The 19,231-nt window shown below is 37.2% G+C and overlaps 1 protein-coding gene and 1 pseudogene across 5 annotated transcripts in view, besides 1 other annotated feature; both read left to right on the forward strand.

Moving 5' to 3' along the window:
- Positions 1–19,231, forward strand: part of ARHGAP42 (Rho GTPase activating protein 42) — a 306,654-nt gene that overhangs the window by 143,464 nt on the left and 143,959 nt on the right. The gene's annotated exons all lie outside the window — the stretch shown is intronic.
- Positions 8,879–9,195, forward strand: RN7SKP115 (RN7SK pseudogene 115; annotated as a pseudogene).
- Positions 16,927–17,221: a silencer, noted in NCBI's record as "tiled region #13718; HepG2 Repressive non-DNase unmatched - State 24:Quies". NCBI's record gives its function as "represses a minimal TATA promoter and a strong SV40 promoter by Sharpr-MPRA in HepG2 cells {active_cell/tissue: HepG2}" and the evidence as "EXISTENCE:reporter gene assay evidence [ECO:0000049][PMID:27701403]".

The raw sequence follows: 19,231 nt of genomic DNA on the forward strand, positions 1-19,231 counted from the left end.
TAGAGTGAGCCGTCATCTGGCATTGTTGGGAGATGGAGTACAGGTGAACAATTTGTCAGCTCGGGCAAGGTCAATAGCCTGCTTTGAGAAACCTTGGTGGGCACCACGGTTACTATTTCAGAGCCAGAGAGAAGAAGGCAGAGGGCAACATTTTTCTTGGGATATAATTTTTCTTCCCTTCTTAAAATACCGTGAGTAATGTACGGGGTGAGGGAAAGATGGGAAGGGGTCAAAGTTGAAAAAAAAGTAAGATAATTTGACTCAATTTAATCAAGTATTTGCAAGTTATATTAGTTGAAATTTTCTGTGCTTGGATTTTTGGATTCATATCTGCTGTGCTGGAATCCTGTTTCCACTATGTTCTAATCACGTGAGCTTGGGCATATTACCAAAGTGCCTGGAGCCTGAATTTCCATGTGTGTGAACGGGGGCCAGTAACACCTACTCCAGCCAGCTGTTGTGATGATTATACAGAGGAGTGGACCTTGTAAAGGGTAGCTCAGTTTACTGTCATCAGTATCCTCATAAACATCATCATTAGGTTATTAAACAAGGTTTTCATTATACTGGGTATTTCTGAGTTCCTGAAGGGAACAAAACTGTTCAAGAGAATGAATAAAAGTAAAATTTTACTAAGAAAAACACGGAACTGACTTAAAAGGAGTCATCCACATCGTTAGGATATTATAACATTGTACTAAAAAAATTAGTTAATAGGGTGTTCTTTTTTGAGAGGAGTCAAGAAAATATCCGATGAAACACGTTTATGTTAGTGACTCACCAGTGTTCTGTAAGCACAGATGGCCTTTGTATAGGGAAGCTCACATTCCTGCCATCCAAGCTACTGCTACTGTAGAAGATTTTATTCTTAGTATTTTTGCTGCTCTTGCTGGGGGTTGCTTGTGGGGAATTCCTTGCCTCTGCCAGGGCATGGTGGTCTGTAGATAGGTTTCTACTTTTTCTGGTTTACTGGGAAAGGAGGGAAAAGTGCATTCCCAGCTTAAATACTTCCACTATAAATGGTTTAAATATACCAAGAGTTAATTTGGGCACATGGCAAATATATTTCTTCACTGGGAAAATGCATTCTATGCCTCCTATGCCCTATTCATACTTCAAGATAAAAGCTAACGGGGCAAGGTGAGGGACAGGAACTTCAGAACAAAATCCACTTGGAAATGGAGGAATTCATTTTTTTCTAATTGATCAAATAGGACTTTAGTAAATAACGAATTTTTGTGGACTGGCAGGTTGGTCTCTTGAATCCACTGGGTCTGTTTCCCCTTGTGCAGCACGTGTGTGCTGGATGATTGGCTCAGTGGCTCTATGTCTATCAGATAATCTGGCCTCTCTTGCCAGAGATGGCTTTGTGAGCCCACGCCAGGCTGTTGAGCAATGGCATCCCAGTTAGGCACATGACTTTAGCTGACATATTGGGCAGATGACAAGGATTCAGGCTTATTGTGTGGGGATAGGCTTTTTCTTTACTCTGCAGAACTGAACGAGGATGGGCATAGTTTCCTGACTGCTGTCCTACAGCAAGCCACGGGATGTAGCTGATATTCTAGGCAGCAGAGCAGAGACATGCAAAGAATCTGGATCTCTGATGATCTCTCTAAGTTTCTGGATTAGCCAGACCTGAAGCTTCTCTTACCCTTGTTTCTCCAGTTATATAAACTGATGTATTTGTTTTATTTAAAACAATTCAAATAGGATTTTCTACTCCTTGAGATCAAAAGCTTCCTAACTTATACACAAATCTAAAAGTCTTCCTAACACGATGTATGAACAAAGTATTTCAGGATTTTGTCACATATGAAGGTCAGGAATTCTTTTTTGACTGGAAAGCTCAGTTAAGAGTGTGTTTACCAAAATGTCAGACAAACTTACAGAACATTGAAGCTAAACTCTTCAGTTTATTATTTTTCACAGGATATTGATTATATTATTAGTTAAGTTCCCTCTCCCTCCTAAGTTACTGCTATCTTGACACACTTTGCTTGACCAGATGTGGCACCCTCTTGGGCACTGCATAGTACAGGATATGAATTGGAAGGAAGCCAATTTATTGGAAAATAAATTCCTTTTACTACAAAAAGGCTGAACCTGAATCCAAGTAATTGGCTCTGAAATGTGACATGGAAGGATTTTGAATGGGTATGCTGAACAGCAAGCTGGATTCCTTTTTCAGTGGCAAAGAGACCAGAAGGGAACTATGCTGCTTGGCATCACAGGCGACTAGAATGTGGGTTTTGTATCCTGTAAATACAGGCTTCTGACAGAAGTCTAACTCTGCATTTTTTCATATTGCCACATCCCAAGTTATCTGAATATCTGCCATTTTTACCAAAGGTCATTTTGACTCCTGATGTCTTGGCTCTTCTCTGAAATTCAGCATTGAAAGTAAAGTTATTCTCCAGAATGGAAATTGAGGTTTGTACATTTTGGTTGAAATAAATAGGACCAATTTGTTGCCTAAAAGTTTCTCAGCTTTAAGGAGTTTTGATACTTTATTAGAGAATGCTACTTTGTTCATTCTACTAAGTATCTTTTAAATGTGCTATCCAGTATTTTAAGAAGAAATACATAAGATAGTATTCTGGTTTTCCAATGCTGTATAACAAACCAATCCAAATATTAGTGGCTTGAAATGACACCATGTATTTACTCATGAATCTGCAGTTTGGGCAGGGCTCAGATGGGACAGCTTGTCATTGTTTCAGTGTGTGTCAGCTGGAGTGGCTTGAAGGCTGGGTTGCAGTCATCTCAAGGCTCATCCACATGTCTCCCAATTAATGCTGGAAAGACTCAAACAATAGAAGGATGATATATGGTTCTTTGAGCATTTCTTACTGCATGTGATCTCTCCAGCATGGTCCTTCAGGGTAGCCAGATTTCTTACATGTAATATGACTTCCAAAACTTCTGTCCCAAGTGAAAGAGAGTTAGGAAGAGCCTGACTTATCGCCTCGTATTGCTTTCTTTGACCTAGCCCCTGCACCCACATAGTACACTACCATTGTTTCATATATGTTAGAAGTGACTCACTCTGGCTGGCCCATATTCAACAGGAGGGAAATTGGGCTGTACCTCTTGATGAGAGAAGTGTTAATGAGTTTGCAGACATGTTTTAAAACTAGGTAGGTAGATACTTTTAAAAAATAAAAATTTTTAAATATCATTAGGAGGTTGTGATAGTTTCTTGCATATGACTGTTTCAAGGGATCATACTAAAATCTTAGGTTTGGAAAATAAAATGTCATCCAATTTCTAATGGTTGACCAGATTAGTGACCATATTGATTTCTATATGGTAGGCACTGTTGTTAGCACTTCACATATGTAAACCTATTTACAGCTGTCCAGTCATTACAGTTATATGAAATACATTCTTAAGATGATTAGTATCCCCATTCTGTGGCTGACAAGATTTACACTTAGAGAGGTTAAATTACAAGCTCAGTCAGATATATGATAGTGGATTTGTGTTTGAACCCAGGGCTATCAATTCCAGAGTCAATTCATATAGCTACTGTATTATGCTTCTATACTCATAGCATTTCTTTTATGGGTCATTTCTGATTAGTAGAATATTTTCCTTTATATGGATCAAAACTTAGTCTACCTATGTCCTTTTGATCCATGCAGTGTAAATTAGACTTATAGAGGTCAAGTGCAGGGCAAGTTCCTGGTGTCTGGGCTAGGGTGTAGCTTTAGTTTGTACAGTGAGACAGCTACAGACATCATACCTGGGAGGACACAAGTTCTCATTGGGTACTCAAGTCAAGCCAATTAATGCAGACAGCAGAATTCGAGAGACATAGTAGGACTTAAATCCTAAAGGCAAAGGTAATAGTGGGCATCAGAAGTTTGAGCTCATAGCATGAATAGACACCCATTAGTATTGGGGGCACTAGTAGTAGCTTAAAGAAGTGGGCAGGAATCCAGACGAACTGTAGCCAAAAAAAGAATAGAGGCTATAAATGCTATGACCAAGGTATGAACAGAGGGATGGAGGAGGATGACTTGAGGAATGAGGCCATAATCCATTATGGGGCCCCCTTCTGCTTTGGACAGGGAACTTCTGAGTCCTTTTTTTTTTTTTTTCTTTGTTTTTTTAATGTTGGATCCATATACAGAAGTGCTTATTTTTGATTCTGGAGTGGGTCTTCCTGTCTAAAAACATTGAATTTTTAATTTTCTAAAAATTTATAAATGTATGTTGATGATTTTATTCACCCTGTTTCATAAGTAAAACACTTCATCTGAGTGAAATAATGTTTTACATTAGATTGCACATTTTCCTATAAACTCTGAAATGTGTCAAATAGTGTCGAGGTTCATCTTTCTATCTACATATTTTATACTGTTTTGCTGGAAAGCCCCATCCTCAAGGCCTTTGGATATAAAAGGGATGGAACTTAACTTACGAGGTTCCTCCTCTTCTGTGGTATGTTACTCAAGGTTGCTGTCTTTCAAGAGACCTCCAGCATTACATTAATCATTGAGTTCCAAAGGAATTTAAATGATTTTCCAGCATTTTATATTCTGTATATACATTATCTTTACAGTTATACATGCACGTCGTAATCTCCTAATTTAACCCTAAAGGTTTCTGACTATAAAACTTAAAGTCCTAAGGTGTCCTTGACTTTGTACCTTAACATATTTATATATGAGTTTTGTCGTGTTGTTTGGTGGTACTCATTCTTAAATACTGCCTAGCATTGTAACTTTTCTAAACATCACTGTTTCTTTGTGGCCAAGCTCATTTCATAGAAGTTTTGAACTGATTAACTTAGATTCTCAGACACACCAAAGGTGTTTGTTGGGAAACTCAGGGTAGCAGTGGTTATCACATCGTAACTATATTATTTATATCTTAAGAGGCAATATTCCAGAAGGGGTACACTTTAGATCATTTTCATCTTAATGATATTCCTATTGCCATACACTTTTTTTCATCCTAATTATTTAGTCTTCATTTGGTTATAAGTAATATGGTATATATGTATATATATATTCCATTGGATCCCCCCTTATACAATTGGTAATTGTTCTTTCCAGAAATTATCTTCTTCCCTGGTTTAAGCCAGTATTTGCCAGGAATAAATCTGACTTTGAATTTCACCAGTGTGTTTGAATATTTCTTATCACATGATTAACCATGGAATTCCAACTCACTCTACTCCTGTAATTATCTAGTTAATGTGATAATGAAGCCAGCCGAACAAGGAAATCTCTTGAGATTTTTGGGTCATTTTTCAAAATCAAGACAAAAATAGCAGGTAAGTTCACACTTAATAAAGAGTTTCAAGTCATTAGAGCTTTGGAAATGACTCATGAGAAGTCAGTCAAATCTCATCCTCTTACAGATGAAGAAACTGAGCCTCAGACAGTTTTATTGACTTGGCCAAGATTATGCAGTTAGTTATTAGTAGAGTTTAATCTTCTGATTTCATAATGAAAAACCTTTTCCTAAAATGTTCACAGATCAGTTCTTAGTCTTCTATGTGAATGGAATTTTCTGTTAACCAAGGTAGTGTAAAGGGGTGGTTTAAACTGTTACTGGTTCCTGAAGGAAGATTAGAATTTTATGTTATGCAGAGCTTTTAAAGGTGGAACACAAAATTTTCCATCATGAACAATCAGCCCTTTTGCTAGATGAAATGTCAATTTCTAGGTCTGAAATTGACCATGCAATATTTATGGCATTGGAAGAACTCTGAGTTATAGGAGAAATATGAAGTGTAGTTGGAAAATACCAAGTTTGAATCAGTAGGAATCTATGTTTCATTGTTCCCTCTGCTTTTCCTAATAATTCAAAATTAGATAAATTCTGTTATAAAATGATGACTGTAAAATTGTTCATGTATCCAAGCTTTTGTTGTTTGCTGAAGAGTGGTTAGGTTTCTCTTTTAAATGTAAAACCTAATTTGAGATGTGTAAGGTTTTTTGTTTTTTTTTTGTTGTTGTTTTCTTTTTTTTTTTTTTGGTTAACTAAATGAAAGACCTCAAAATATACATGCATTAAAAAAACAGTAAGCATATATAATGTCTGGGACTTGAACACCTCATTATTATTTTCAACCTGTCCTTTTTTTACAACCAATTTTGAATGTTATTGATTACTTTCTGCTTTCTAGTCTCTGGAGGTAAATCATGTCATGAATAACTGACTAGTTCCAGCAAAATATTTTTGGTTTTGGAAGCATAGAAATAATTCTTATGTCGACTTCATTGTATCAGGTTCAAGATTGTAAATTTCTCATATTTTCATTAGTAGTTGCTAAAATATTTACATTTTCTTTTGAAATAATTTTCATTTATAGAAAAATTTCAAGAATAGAAAGAACTTTCCTATATTCTTCACCATTTTGCCAAATTTGCTTTACGACTCTTTGTCTTGAGACTGTTTCAACCACCATGCTTTTTTTCAACCCTAAATGTTTAAGTGTGTATTTTCTAAGACACAGATATTCACTTATATACCTACAGTGCAGTTATCCAAATTAGGAAGTTTAACACAGGTAGACTACTGTTACCACAGAATCTTTTTTTCAAGTTTTGCTAATTGTCACAATTTTGTCCTTTATATATACATATTTTTTTCTTGGCTTTGGACATCAAAATCTGGAATGGTTTTGTTGTCCGTAAGGCTAGTTTAGGTTTTGTCTTTGTCACACAAAAGAATTTGGAAATGAGATCACAGTGTAAGTATAAAAGTTTTATTGTGGAGTGAAAGCAAATACACAAGGAATGAGTGCAGGCATGCTCAAAAGAATGGGCTGCCTGCAAGGTGGTCAGGGCTTGCATACTATATGGATAAGCATAATGAAGGCATGGAATATTTTATAACAAGGGGAGAGGTTTTCCCGGAAATTCACAGGCAGTTCCCAGAATCTAGGTGTCATCCTTTTTTTTTTTTTTTTTTTTTTTTTTTTTTTAGTAAATATGCTTAATTTGGAACTGTCATTGTATCAGGTGCACGATGAGAATGGGAGGTTTTTTCCATGGAAATTTTATGATAATAGGGGCATAATGCAGCCAAGGGTCAGCAGTCAGTTAAGTTTTTGGCCATCTTGGATTTAATTAGTTGTGGCTGTTTTTGTTATATTTTTATATTCACCTAGCGGGATGTCTGCAATTTGTTTTCATTGGTGCAGTCTAACAGGTTTTTATTTTATTTTATTTTATTTTACTAGGAGACAGGTCCTGTGCTAACCTGTTTGGCTCTGTTTGTGTTGTTCTTAGCTGCCTAAAAATAATTGAGCCCCATTCCCTCGCTAACTGCCTGCCTCAGTTCCTGAGTCTGTCTGTCTGTTTGTTTTTGTTTGTTTGTTTCCCATTGCATTGACGTGTTTGAAAAGTTTGGGCTAGTTATTTTGTAGAAATTTCCTCAATTTGGGTTTGTGTGATGCTTCCTTCTGAGTAAATTCCTGCATTTTGCGCAGGAATTAAGGCACCTGGTGTTGCTTTTTCTCATTACTGTTGGTGTAAACTTTGATCACTTGATTAAAGCGGTGTCTGCCAAGTTTTCCCACTATGGCCTTACCTTTTCTCTCTTTGAAATTAGTAAGTCCTTTGTGAGTAAAGACAATGTATATAGACATTCCTTTTTTCAAACTTATGCTCATCAAGCTAAAGATATCTTAATTATAATATGATAGTGTAGGCTGGGCTTGGTGGCTCATGCTTGTAATACCAGCACTTTGGGAGGCTGAGGCAGGAGAATCGGATGAGCCCAGTAATTCAAAACTAGCCTGGGTAATGGTGAGACCTTGCCTCTACAAAAAATCAAAAAAATTAGCCAGGCATGGTGGTGTGTGCCTGTGGTCCCAGCCACATGGGAGGATCACTTGAGCCCAGGAGGTCAAGGTTACAGTGAGCCATGATTGTGCTACGATACTTTGGCCTGGGTAACAGAGCAAGACCGTATCTCAAAAACAAAACAAAATAAAACAAAAACACCAAGAAAAAAAAAATCATAGTGTTTAAAAAAATCTACATTTAATCTGTTTATAGGGCATATAATGCTTCGTTGAGGATCAGTTGTTGAGTCGTCAGTCATTGACAGGGGCAAAAATATAGTTGTGTTAGTTGATAGCCTAGCTTAATTCTTAGGAAGGCACTTCATTTCCCAACCTTTTTCTATTATTTAGCCTTGCACTAACTTCCACCATTGAAACTATTTCTCTTAGTTTTCCTAGTGTCCCAATGAAATTATAACTTTTTTTTTTTAGGACAAGGGCCATCCGTGTATTATATACTACTTCTATGTATTATGTGCTCTAGTATATATACTGCATATCATCTACAGAACACAGCTATAACATGGCAGCCTCGCATCCCTTCCTGCTTACCACCTTTCTAGATATTAAGGCTTACTTAGTTCTTACTGAATTAAATGGAGAGTGACTTGACAACTCTTGGCCAGCCATTCTTAATGATATTTGTGTTCCTAAGATATAGCAGTATCTGCAAATCCTAAATCTGTCTCATGAAGATTTTATGATCTTTTAGATCAGTGATTAATGGAAGACAATGTCCTTTATTTTTTTAAATAAAAAATAATGACCTGAACTTTCTCTGTAGCCAATAAAGGTGAGTGTGAATGGCTATCACCATGGTAGTGTTGGAGTTAACATTCTCTAGTTAAAACATACTATAACTTCCACACACCAGCTAAATGGAAACGCTCTTGACAGGATCTGCTATGAAGAAAATGGAAAGGAGTAACATGAGGATATGTGGAATAAGTCCGGAGATGGAGTAGAGTAAAAGCACCATTGCCCAAGGGCAGAGTTGGATACCACTGCAGTAAAGAGTGACTGATTAGGCAGTGTGTTAAGTTTTATGTCAAATAATTGGTGGTTGTTAGATGTGAGGATGATCTGGCTGTGACATCTGTCACCCCATTGATTACCAGGGTTGATTTGGCTGATCTGGCTGGCTAGGCTGGTGTCCCGTTCCATCCTCACTGCTCCATGCACGTCCCTCCCAAAGCTGCATTCTCAGTCGAAGAGGACGACCATCCCCGATAAAGGAGGACCAGTCTCGGTCAAGGGTATATGAGTAGCTGCACTCCCCTCCTAGAACCTCCAAGCTTTCAAATAATTGGTGATTCTTAAGATACATGGAGCTAACTAGGGGTTAGAATGATTTCCCAAACTTCTCCTAGAAGGAGACTGTAGTGCCAGACCATACTGTCAACTTTTAGATGTGTGGTGTGACCCAGAGAGACCTGAATTTTTATTTTATGAGACTAGAATTGGATCAAAAGTAAAAATATGAACTAGTCTTCAAATTAAATCATATCTAGGGCTTATAAAGAAAGTAGTGTAATGCTTGAAAAAGGAAAGAACTCTTGAAAGAATGTATTGAATATTTGTATCAAACATGCCCTCCATATTCTTTTAAAACAGCTAAATGTTTCTACATTTCCTGCAAATGATGCGTCCCCTACAAAGTAACGTCACAAAGCAGCTCTCCCTTAGTTCTTTGCCTTGGGACACCCAAGGTCGCTGCGACACTTTTGTCAGTAATGGTGATTTTCTATTGCAGGGATTTCCAAAGAGGAGATTAAGTTTGGAAATGTTCCTCTGTCCCTTCAGCATTTCCTCTCAGAGGTGACTCAACAGATTGTTCAAGATCTATCACTTTTGAGTGTTAAGGATATAAGGGGCTTGATATTCAATGAGTAAAATATGTAAATCTGAATTATCTAACTTTAGAATGTGAATAATATGAACACTTAGTATTTAATGTTAATTTCCTTTACGTTTTTTGACCATGTAATTTGATCTTAGAGCATATCAAAAAGGGTACATATGACCAAGATCCCCCAGCACAGCAAAATCACAGATGCTGACACTTAGAAGGGTTAAAAGAAAAAAGGAGATGGATTTATTTTAAAGCAAGGTAATTGAAGCCTTCTGCTTTTAGCATTCCAATATTTTTATGGTATAATTCATGTAATGCTATCCATTTCTGATGAAGCGCCTAATTGTTTCTTAATAATATATAGAAGTGTCTAAAGTTGTTCCCAAATTTGTATTAAATTGTTGATAGGTTATCATCGAGTGAAGAAAAACATCATTTTACTTCAGGTCAGCTAGGTAAAAGACACTATGTTAGTGCTGAGTCTGCTATTAAACAATTGTAAATTTTATCTTCTTTGGGCTTCAGTCTCCTTACTCCTAGAAAGGATATTAGCTATGATAATTCTCAATGCTCCCCCTTAGTTCTAGATTATTTTCAGTGTAGTATAACTTTGACATGTGAAGAACAGATTCATTTGATAGGTGTGCCATGAAATACGGTCTCTTGATACGTACACTTTTGTGTAACGAGGCATTTACTTTATAATTAGATGACATGAAATGTGATAAATGTGAGGCACAACTCAGGTTAATTCAAGTACAAAAATCCTTTCTTTCACCCTGGAAAGAAGTTGCTTTAACCTTGTTAGCTCTTGTCAGTGTAGAATCATAGATAAAAGCTGCAAATATTTGGATTTACTTGTTGAGTTATTGACAGTTAATACCAAAGGGGTTTTTCCAGATTTTTTTTTTTGCTGTTACTTTTTGGTTTGTTCAGGAGTTGAGTTCAATTTAGGGGCAGAACTTCCCCTCAACTCTCAGTGGATTTCACTCTTCTTTGCAGTGACAGTGGCTTTAAAAACCTCAGAAGTATAACACTTTTATGAATAGCAATGGCATGTAGTACAAAATGTGGAATCAGTTGAGTTAGAATATAATTTTCATCCTTTATTGTTATAATCACATTCTGCATTTCTGTGGTAGTCAGCAGAGAATTAAATCTAAATTTCATACCATGGTTCTCAAGACCTTCGGTGCTCTGTACCCAGTCTTCATCTCTATTTTCCATTGCCTTCACTAGGCTTTCATCATGCTAGCCTTCTTTTCATTTCATCAATATGTCTTACGGCATTGGCACTTGCTCTTCTCTCTGCCTGAAAGCCTTCTTCCAGATCTTTGAGTAGGGGTTGGAGGCGGTTGAGGAGTTCTTGTAAGTAATGCTGGAGTTCCAAGGTATCTCCTCACTGAGGCTTTGCCTATCCAGTTTAATTCAGTGCCCCCTACTGCCGTCATTTTTTGCCACATCATCTTGTTTTGTTTTCTTTGTGGCTCCTGTCATTATCTGATATTATCTTGTTTATTTTTGGCTTACTTGTCTGTCTTCCTGAACTATGTAAACAAGCTCCAGGAGAGATTTGTATTACACTGTAAGTATTTGCTTGAAAATGATTGAGTTACAGGCATTAATGAATTATGGCCTAGTGGCTAAAGATTGAAGTATTGCAAACTAAGCCAAAAACATCCAGCTTCAGTTTACAAGAACTTCATTTGTGAACAATTTTAAGTTCTCACCCGAAAGGTTATGACAAAAAATAGTCTGTGTCTTGCTTCTGGTTGGACAGTTACCTTCACTGAGCATACACTTAAATATAGCTCCTACATTCACCATCGTCTACATGCATAAACTGAGAAGGGAAGCATTATTACCATGTTATCTAGATATGAACTTGACCTACAATAAAGTTGTCATTAGTTCAAATGAGAACCTATTCAAGTTTTGCAATGCAAATAGATATAGCAGCAACTATTTTTTCACCAGTCCAATTACTTCTCTCATTAAACCATCCATGACACTGAAAGTCCCAATATTGGATTATTATTCTGTCTTACATTTTCTCGGACAATTAGCTTCCAGGGCCCAAGAAGCATATTAGCACCTGTCAGTAAATCAGTGTAAATTATCAGAATTACTAGTTGTTAGGAAGCATGGAGCAAAGTCTTCATGAAAGAAGGCGTAGAAATCATAAGGTTTTCTTGGTAGGCCAAACAGTGTGGTAATGAATGGAAATATTTAAAACTTAGGTTCCCTGGAAACCCTTCAAAACCATGCAAATAAATGGAAATTAAATAGCCTGCTCCTAAATAACCATTGGGTCAACAATGAAATCAAAATAGAAATTAAAAAATTGTTTGAACTGAACAACAATAGTGACACAACCTATTAAAACCTCTTGGATACAGCAAAGACGGCGCTAAGAGGAAAGTTTATAGCCCTAAATGCCTGCATCAAAATGTCTGAAAGACCACAAACAGACAATCTAAGATCACACCTCAAGGAACTAGAGAAACAAGAAAAAAACCAAACCCAAACCCAGCAGAAGAAAATAACCAAGATCAGAGCAGAACTAAATGAAATTGAAACAAAAAGAAATACAAAAGATAAATGAAACAAAAAGCTGGTTCTTTGAAAAGTTAAATAAAATGGATAGACCATTAGCAAGATTAACCAAGAAAAGAAGAGAGAAAATCCAAAGAAGCTCAAATAGAAACAAAATGGGAGATATTACAACTGACACCACGGAAATACAAAAAGATCATCCAGGGCTACTATGAACACCTTTACATGCATAAACTAGAAAACTAGAGGAAATGGATAAATACCTGGAAAGATACAACACTCCTAGCTTAAATCAGGAAAAGTTAGATACCCTAAACAGACCAATAACAAGGAGTGAGGTTGAAATGGTAATAAAAAAATTACCAACAAAAAAAAAGTCCAGGAACAGATGGATTCTTGCTTATTTCTACCAGTCATTCTACCAAGACAAGGATGCTCACTCTTACCACTTCTCTTCAGTATAGTACTGGAAGTCCTAGCCAGAGCAATCATTCAAGAGAAAGAAATGAAGGGCATCCAAATAGGTAAAGAAGAAATCAAACTGCCACTGTTTGCTGATGATATGATTGTATACCTAGAAAACCCTAAAGACTCCTCCAAAAAACTCCTAGAACTGATAAAAGAATTCAGCAAAGTTTCCAGATAAAAGATTAATGTACACAAATCAGTAGCTCTCCTGTATTCCAACAGTGACCAAGCTGAGCATCAAATCAAGAACTCAATCCCTTTTACAATAGCAGGAAAAAAAAATGCTTAGGAATATATCTAACCAAGGAGGTGAAACACCTTTACAAGGAAAACTGCAAAAACTGCTGAAAGAAGTCATAGACAACACAAACAAATGGAAACACGTCCCATGCTCATGGATGGATAGAATCAATGTTGTGAAAAAGACCATACTGCCAAAAGCAATCTACAAATTCAGTGCAATTCCCATCAAAATATCACCATCATTCTTCACAGAACTATAAAAAAAATCCTAAAATTCATATGGAACCAAAAAAATAGCCTGCATAGCCAAAGCAAGACTAAGCAAAAATAACAAATCTGGAGGCATTGCATTACCTGATTTCAAACTATACAATAAGGCCATAGTCACCAAAATAGCATGGTACTGGTATAAAAATTGGCACATAGACCAATGGAACAGAAAAGAGAACCCAGAAATAGAGCCAAATACTTACAGCCAACTGATCTTTGACAAAGCAAACAAAAACAAAAAGTGGGGAAAGGACACCCCATTGAACAAATGGTGCTGGGATAATTGGCAAGCCACATCTAGGAGAATGAAACTGGATCCTCATCTCTCACCTTATGCAAAAATCAACTCAAGATGTATCTAGGACTTAAATCTAAGACCTGAATCTATAATAAAAATTCTAGAATATTGTAAGAATCCTTTTAGAGATTGTCTTAGGCAAGGATTTCATGACCAAGAGCCCAAAAGCAAATACAATAGAAACAAAGATAAATAGCTGGGACTTAATTAAACTAAAAAGCTTTTGCACAACAAAAGGAACAGTCAACAGAGTGAACAGACAACCCACAGGATGGGAGGAAAATCTTTACAATCTATACATCTGACAAAGGACTAATACCCAGAAGGTACAATGAACTCAAACAAATCAACAAGAAAAAAAAAATCCTATCAAAAAGTGGGATAAGGACAGGAATAGACAATTCTAAAAGGAGATAGACAAGTGGCTAAGAAACATATGAAAAAATCTCAACATCACTAATGATCAGGGAAATGCAAATCAAAACCACAGTACGATATCACCTTCTGCAAGAATGGCCATAATCAAAAATTCAAAAAATAGTAGATGTTGATTTGGATGCAGTGAACAGGGAACACTTCTACACTGCTGGTGGGGATGTAAACTAGTATAACCACTGTGGAAAACAGAGTGGATATTCCTTAAAGAACTAAAATAGAACTATCATTTGATCCAGCAATCCCACTACTGGGTATCTACTCAGAGGAAATGAAGTCATTATATGAAAAAGATACTTGCACACACATGTTCATAGCAGCACAATTAGCAATTGCAAAAACGTGGATACAACCCAAATTCCTATCAATCAACAAGTGGATAAAGAAACTGTGATATATATATATATATACACACACACACATGTATACATATCATATGTATATATATGTATACACACACATATACATACAGTGGAATACTACTCAGCCATAAAAAGAAGTGAATGGCATTGGCAGCAATCTGGATGAGATTGGAGACTATTATTCTAAGTGAAGTAACCCAGGAATGGAAAATCAAACATCATATAATCTCACTCATAATTGGGAGCTAAGCTATGAGGATGCGAAGGCATGAGAATGATACAATGGACTTTGGGGACTCAGAGGGAAAGGGTGGGAAGGGGGTGAGGGGTAAAAGACTACAAACTGGATACAGTGTATACTGCTTGGGTGATGGATGCACCAAAATCTCACCAGTCACCACTAAAGAACTTACTAATGTAACCAAATGCCACCTGTTTTCCAATAACCTATGAAAATAAAAAAAAACTAAAAAATAAAACTTAGGTTTCCTGGAAGCATAGTCCTTAGTGAGAGGAGGCGGTGATGGTAAACAAACTAGAATAAAGGCCAGACAAAGCCTACTCAGAGATAAAATAAACACACTTGAATAAAGGCTGAAGAAAACCTACCTAGGGGTAGCTGAAGAGATAGAAGCTTTTGAAAACAGATTTTATCCACTTCACAGCATTACATAGTCTTGCCCTCGTTTTCACCTTTTTGCCCAGTTGTCCTCATTGTAATTCAGTAATGTAATTTTGTACCTTAGTAATGTAGATAATATGTTCCCTGGTTAGTAAGCTCAAAGATGACAAGAAGCTGTGTTTTTGACCCTTCATTCTTCCAAGATTGTTTATCAGCCTAATTGAGTTTTTGGCGGAGGCTAACAAGGCCTCATCCAGTGATAAGACAGCAGGCCATTGCTTATTTATTTCTAATAAATGGCTAGGGATAGGTTATTTTGCCAAATAGCATTTAGCATGCCTATTCTCCCTGCTGTATCCCCAGTGCTTCTTCAAGATTCATTTCCAAAATGGTAACTAGAGTTTACAAAGAAACAAAGTTCCAGAAGTTAATCTCATCCATTCACCTTTTAGAAGTAGAAGTAAAAAGTTAATGAGGTAATTAACCTTTTGTTTTTGTATGTGATAAAGACCTGAAACTTGGCATGCTTAAGTAGAAGGTGGTCTTCATTTGCTATCTATTAAAATCTTCTCTTTCTCCAAAAGAGACAAAGGGTATCTTCATACTGAATCCATGCATTTCTGATTTTTCTTCCTCAATGGTTCGTCAGAACACCTCACACTCAGCTAGTGTATGCATGGATAGAGCATTGTTTGAGACTGAAACTGATATATGAATAGGAAAATGATGTTTAGTTTGTAGGAATGTAAAGTCTGACATTGTCCATCTTTATCATTTAAGTTTGATTTTGGCATTTTCCACTCTCTAACTTCCTGTCTTCCATATTCTTTCTCCACCTCCTACCCTACCCCCACTTCCAACCAATAAGCTTATATCAATAAATATTTGTTGGCTAGTAACTATATGCCTCAGATACTGCTCTCATCTTTGGGGGATACAAAAATAAAAGCTGGAGACGTAAGCATTTTCTCAAAAATACTCATAATCTGGATGGGAAGACACACTGTGCACACTGTGGTCTGCAGAGTACTGGTATCTGCTGTGATAGTCATATGATCAATATCCTGTGGGAGTTTGAAGAAGGGCCTCGAGACTTAGCCTAGGAATATTAGGGAAGGCTCAGCAAGGAGGTAAAACTTGGCTGAGGTTTAAAAAATGAGTAAGAGGTGTTCAGATAGGGAACAAGTGGAACAGAGAGAAGGATTGAAGAGGTCCAGGGGGAGCTAGAATTTATAAGTCGTGTTACATGGTGGCATGCCAGACCCCTGTTAACTTCAATAGGATGGCACCAGGTTCAAGCAGCTGAAGAAGAGACCCAGAGCCAGCACACAAAACACAGGGCTTTATTAGTGGGAAACTTACATACGGAGTGGTCCAGTGACAGTGGGATGGAACAGAAGAACCACCAACCCACTTGTAAAAAGCATGCAGGTTACATAGTATTTTCACTTAACACCCTCCCACTAACAACCTCCACCTGGCAATTTTTATTTAACCCAAGGCAAAGGCCTCGATCCCCTGAATGGCCTGTGTTCCACTGGATGGGCTGAGGGTTCAGATGTTCCACATAGATAAGTAATGAATCTCCAGTTGGCCACTCTCAATTCCTTAGTTTGGAACTCTGAACACACATTCAGGGTATCTGCCATACAGGCTCATTCTCAAGGTGTGCTTAAGTTAGGACTGTCAAATGCATCTGCCATGCGCATGGTAGAAATCAAGGCTTTCTCACGTGGGAATGGCAGCAAAAAAGGTTTTTAGGAGGTAAGGAGATGCCTTTTCTTTAAGGACCCTTGGATACTGGGCTAAAGGAAGTCCTTCTCTATTGAAGGTTGTGGAGAGATGATAAACGCTGGGGAGTGAAATACTGTCCATTTAAAGAGAACATTCTGGCAGCTGTGTGGAACGTTAAATATAGGTGGGTCGTGAAACACAGGGCTGAGAGCTGTGTAATTGCTAATTTAACCTGGAGAGATGTGACTGGAGACAAGCTAAGGCGGCGGGGAGACCCTGGACTGGGCACAGAAGATGAAGGAGAGGCCTTGGTCTAGGGTGACTGGACAGTTGGCTGAATATAGTGCCATTCACTGAGAGGAGATAAATCAGTGGAGTAGAGAAGCCTGGGACCTGCATTGAGGGTGTGTTTTTGAGGTGTCCGTGGGAGTGGGACAGTTTATAGATAAGAAGCTTGGCAGAAACATCTGGGTTGGAGAAAGCATTATTAAGCGTTCACTTCACCTGATATTTGAAGCTTGAAAATGCATTAGTCGACCCATGGATGGAGTGTAGAGTGTTTTCTTATCTTGAAATGTAAGATTAAGTTGGTTGAGTCTGTCTTTGCTCCTTTTACTCTGCAAAAGAATTCTTGAAAGGTCACCTGAGTCAAAAGGCTGTTAAGATAACACCTAGGTGCTCTCATGATGACATATGAAGTGGGAATTGGGAAGCTTTGGGGTAAGGTACACTATGTCATTAGCTTTGTATCTTTATGTTAGTATGCAAAGCTATTTTAATTTTGATGGTTGTAACATACATTCCAATTTTACTGTATTCCTGAATTATCCGAGAACGTGCATTTTTCCCTCCAACATTTTCAGATTAGTAATTTAGATTAATTAAAATATTCCTTAACTATTAATATACTTGAATGTGTTAGGACACTACTGAAAGCAGAAAGTTACAAACCGGATGTGATTATCGACATTATGTTTTGTTGTTAGGATTCTGTGTTTGGGGACCGGGTTAACATGGAGATAAGGAGAGTTTTACAACCAGCAACCATCTTCCTGCTCATGTAAACTGGACATCTAAGGAGCTAACTTTTCTTTTTCTTTCTTTCTTTTTTTTTTTTCCTGAGGTGGAGTCTTGTACTGTCACCCAGGCTGGAGTGCAGTGGCACAATCTCGGCTCACTGCAACCTCCGTCTCCCAGGTTCAAGTGATTCTCCTGCCTCAGGCTCCCGAGTAGCTGGGATTACAGGTGTGCACCACCACACCTGGCTATTTTATTTTTATTTTTAGTAGAGACAGGGTTTTACCATGATGGCCAGGCTGATCTTGAACTCCTGGCCTCAAGTGATCTGCCCACCTTGGCCTCCCAAAATGTAACTTTTCTTTCCCACTAAATATAGTAGATATCTCTTAATTTTTTAGGAGGCAAAAGAAAGAGAAGCGAGCAGTTTTTCATAATTATATAGGATGATTCAGGTGGCACATGGCATAGCCTTTCTGCTTTACCTTATTATCTGATTGTACGCATCGTGATAAGTGCAGGAGAGTGTGAATGTCTCAAATGTCTCAAGCTGTCTGGAAGAAAAGTAGTTTTTAAGCTTCATTTTCTGGAGAAGAATCTTAAACAGCCTCATAGCCAATTCTATGAACTGAAAGTAATTCAAGCCATGGCCTAAGGGTAAGACCAAAAGAGGTCAGATGTTAATGATTTATTAAATGATTGTATTTTCTGTTGGAACATGCTTTTCACAGATAAGGAAAAGTGTAATTTTTTTAATGTTGTTTGTCATATGTTTTAAAGAGAATTTGTCTAGTATTGACATATCACTCATTCTTCACATGATGTAAGACCTCACATTAAGGGCTGAAAGAGGCTCTTTACTTCCTTGGGTAAGAAAGGCTTTTGACAGCTGTACAGTGTGGAAAACTGGCCCATAGTTTATGACCAGATCTGGATTTGGAAAAGACCAGGGCCGAGAGTTATAACATATGGAACTTATTTGGGAAGTAATTCTTAGCTATGACTAAGAGCCTGTGCTCAAACGCCTGGGAAAGTTTGAAAGAAAATCTTTGCAAAATAAATCATATCTCTTGTTTGCTAAATTGTAGGACGTAGATAACTTTTGGGTATTCATGGACTTTGTATTCTGTGTTAAAGCTCTAAAGTTTTCTCTTTCAGTTAATTTTTTTTTTGGTTTTATTTTTAACAACACTGTGATTAAATTTGCTGGCTTATTCAATCAAGGAATTATTTATTTAAAAAGATTATTTTCTCTTCCCCCTAATTCTCAGAGATCCTTAAAATGTTCACATCCAAACAGACACTAAGGGGCTAGTTTATAGTAAAGATATACTGTGTGTGTGTATTAGCTTCTGGTGCTGTTTTTTCTTAGCTGTACAAGTTCCAATTACCATGTTTCCTGTGTTTATTTATATCGAGATAGCATGTGACATAAACATCCCAAGTAAGTGTTGTTCCAGGGAAAGTGAACTAGGAAAAGGTAATATTATGATGCTTACGTTTCTGAAGGAATATTCCTTTTTTCTCATTTCTCAAACTTTAATTGGGTAGAATTATGTATGAG

This window comes from Homo sapiens, chromosome 11 (genome assembly GCF_000001405.40).
Source record: "Homo sapiens chromosome 11, GRCh38.p14 Primary Assembly".
Taxonomy (NCBI): Eukaryota; Metazoa; Chordata; class Mammalia; order Primates; family Hominidae; genus Homo; species Homo sapiens.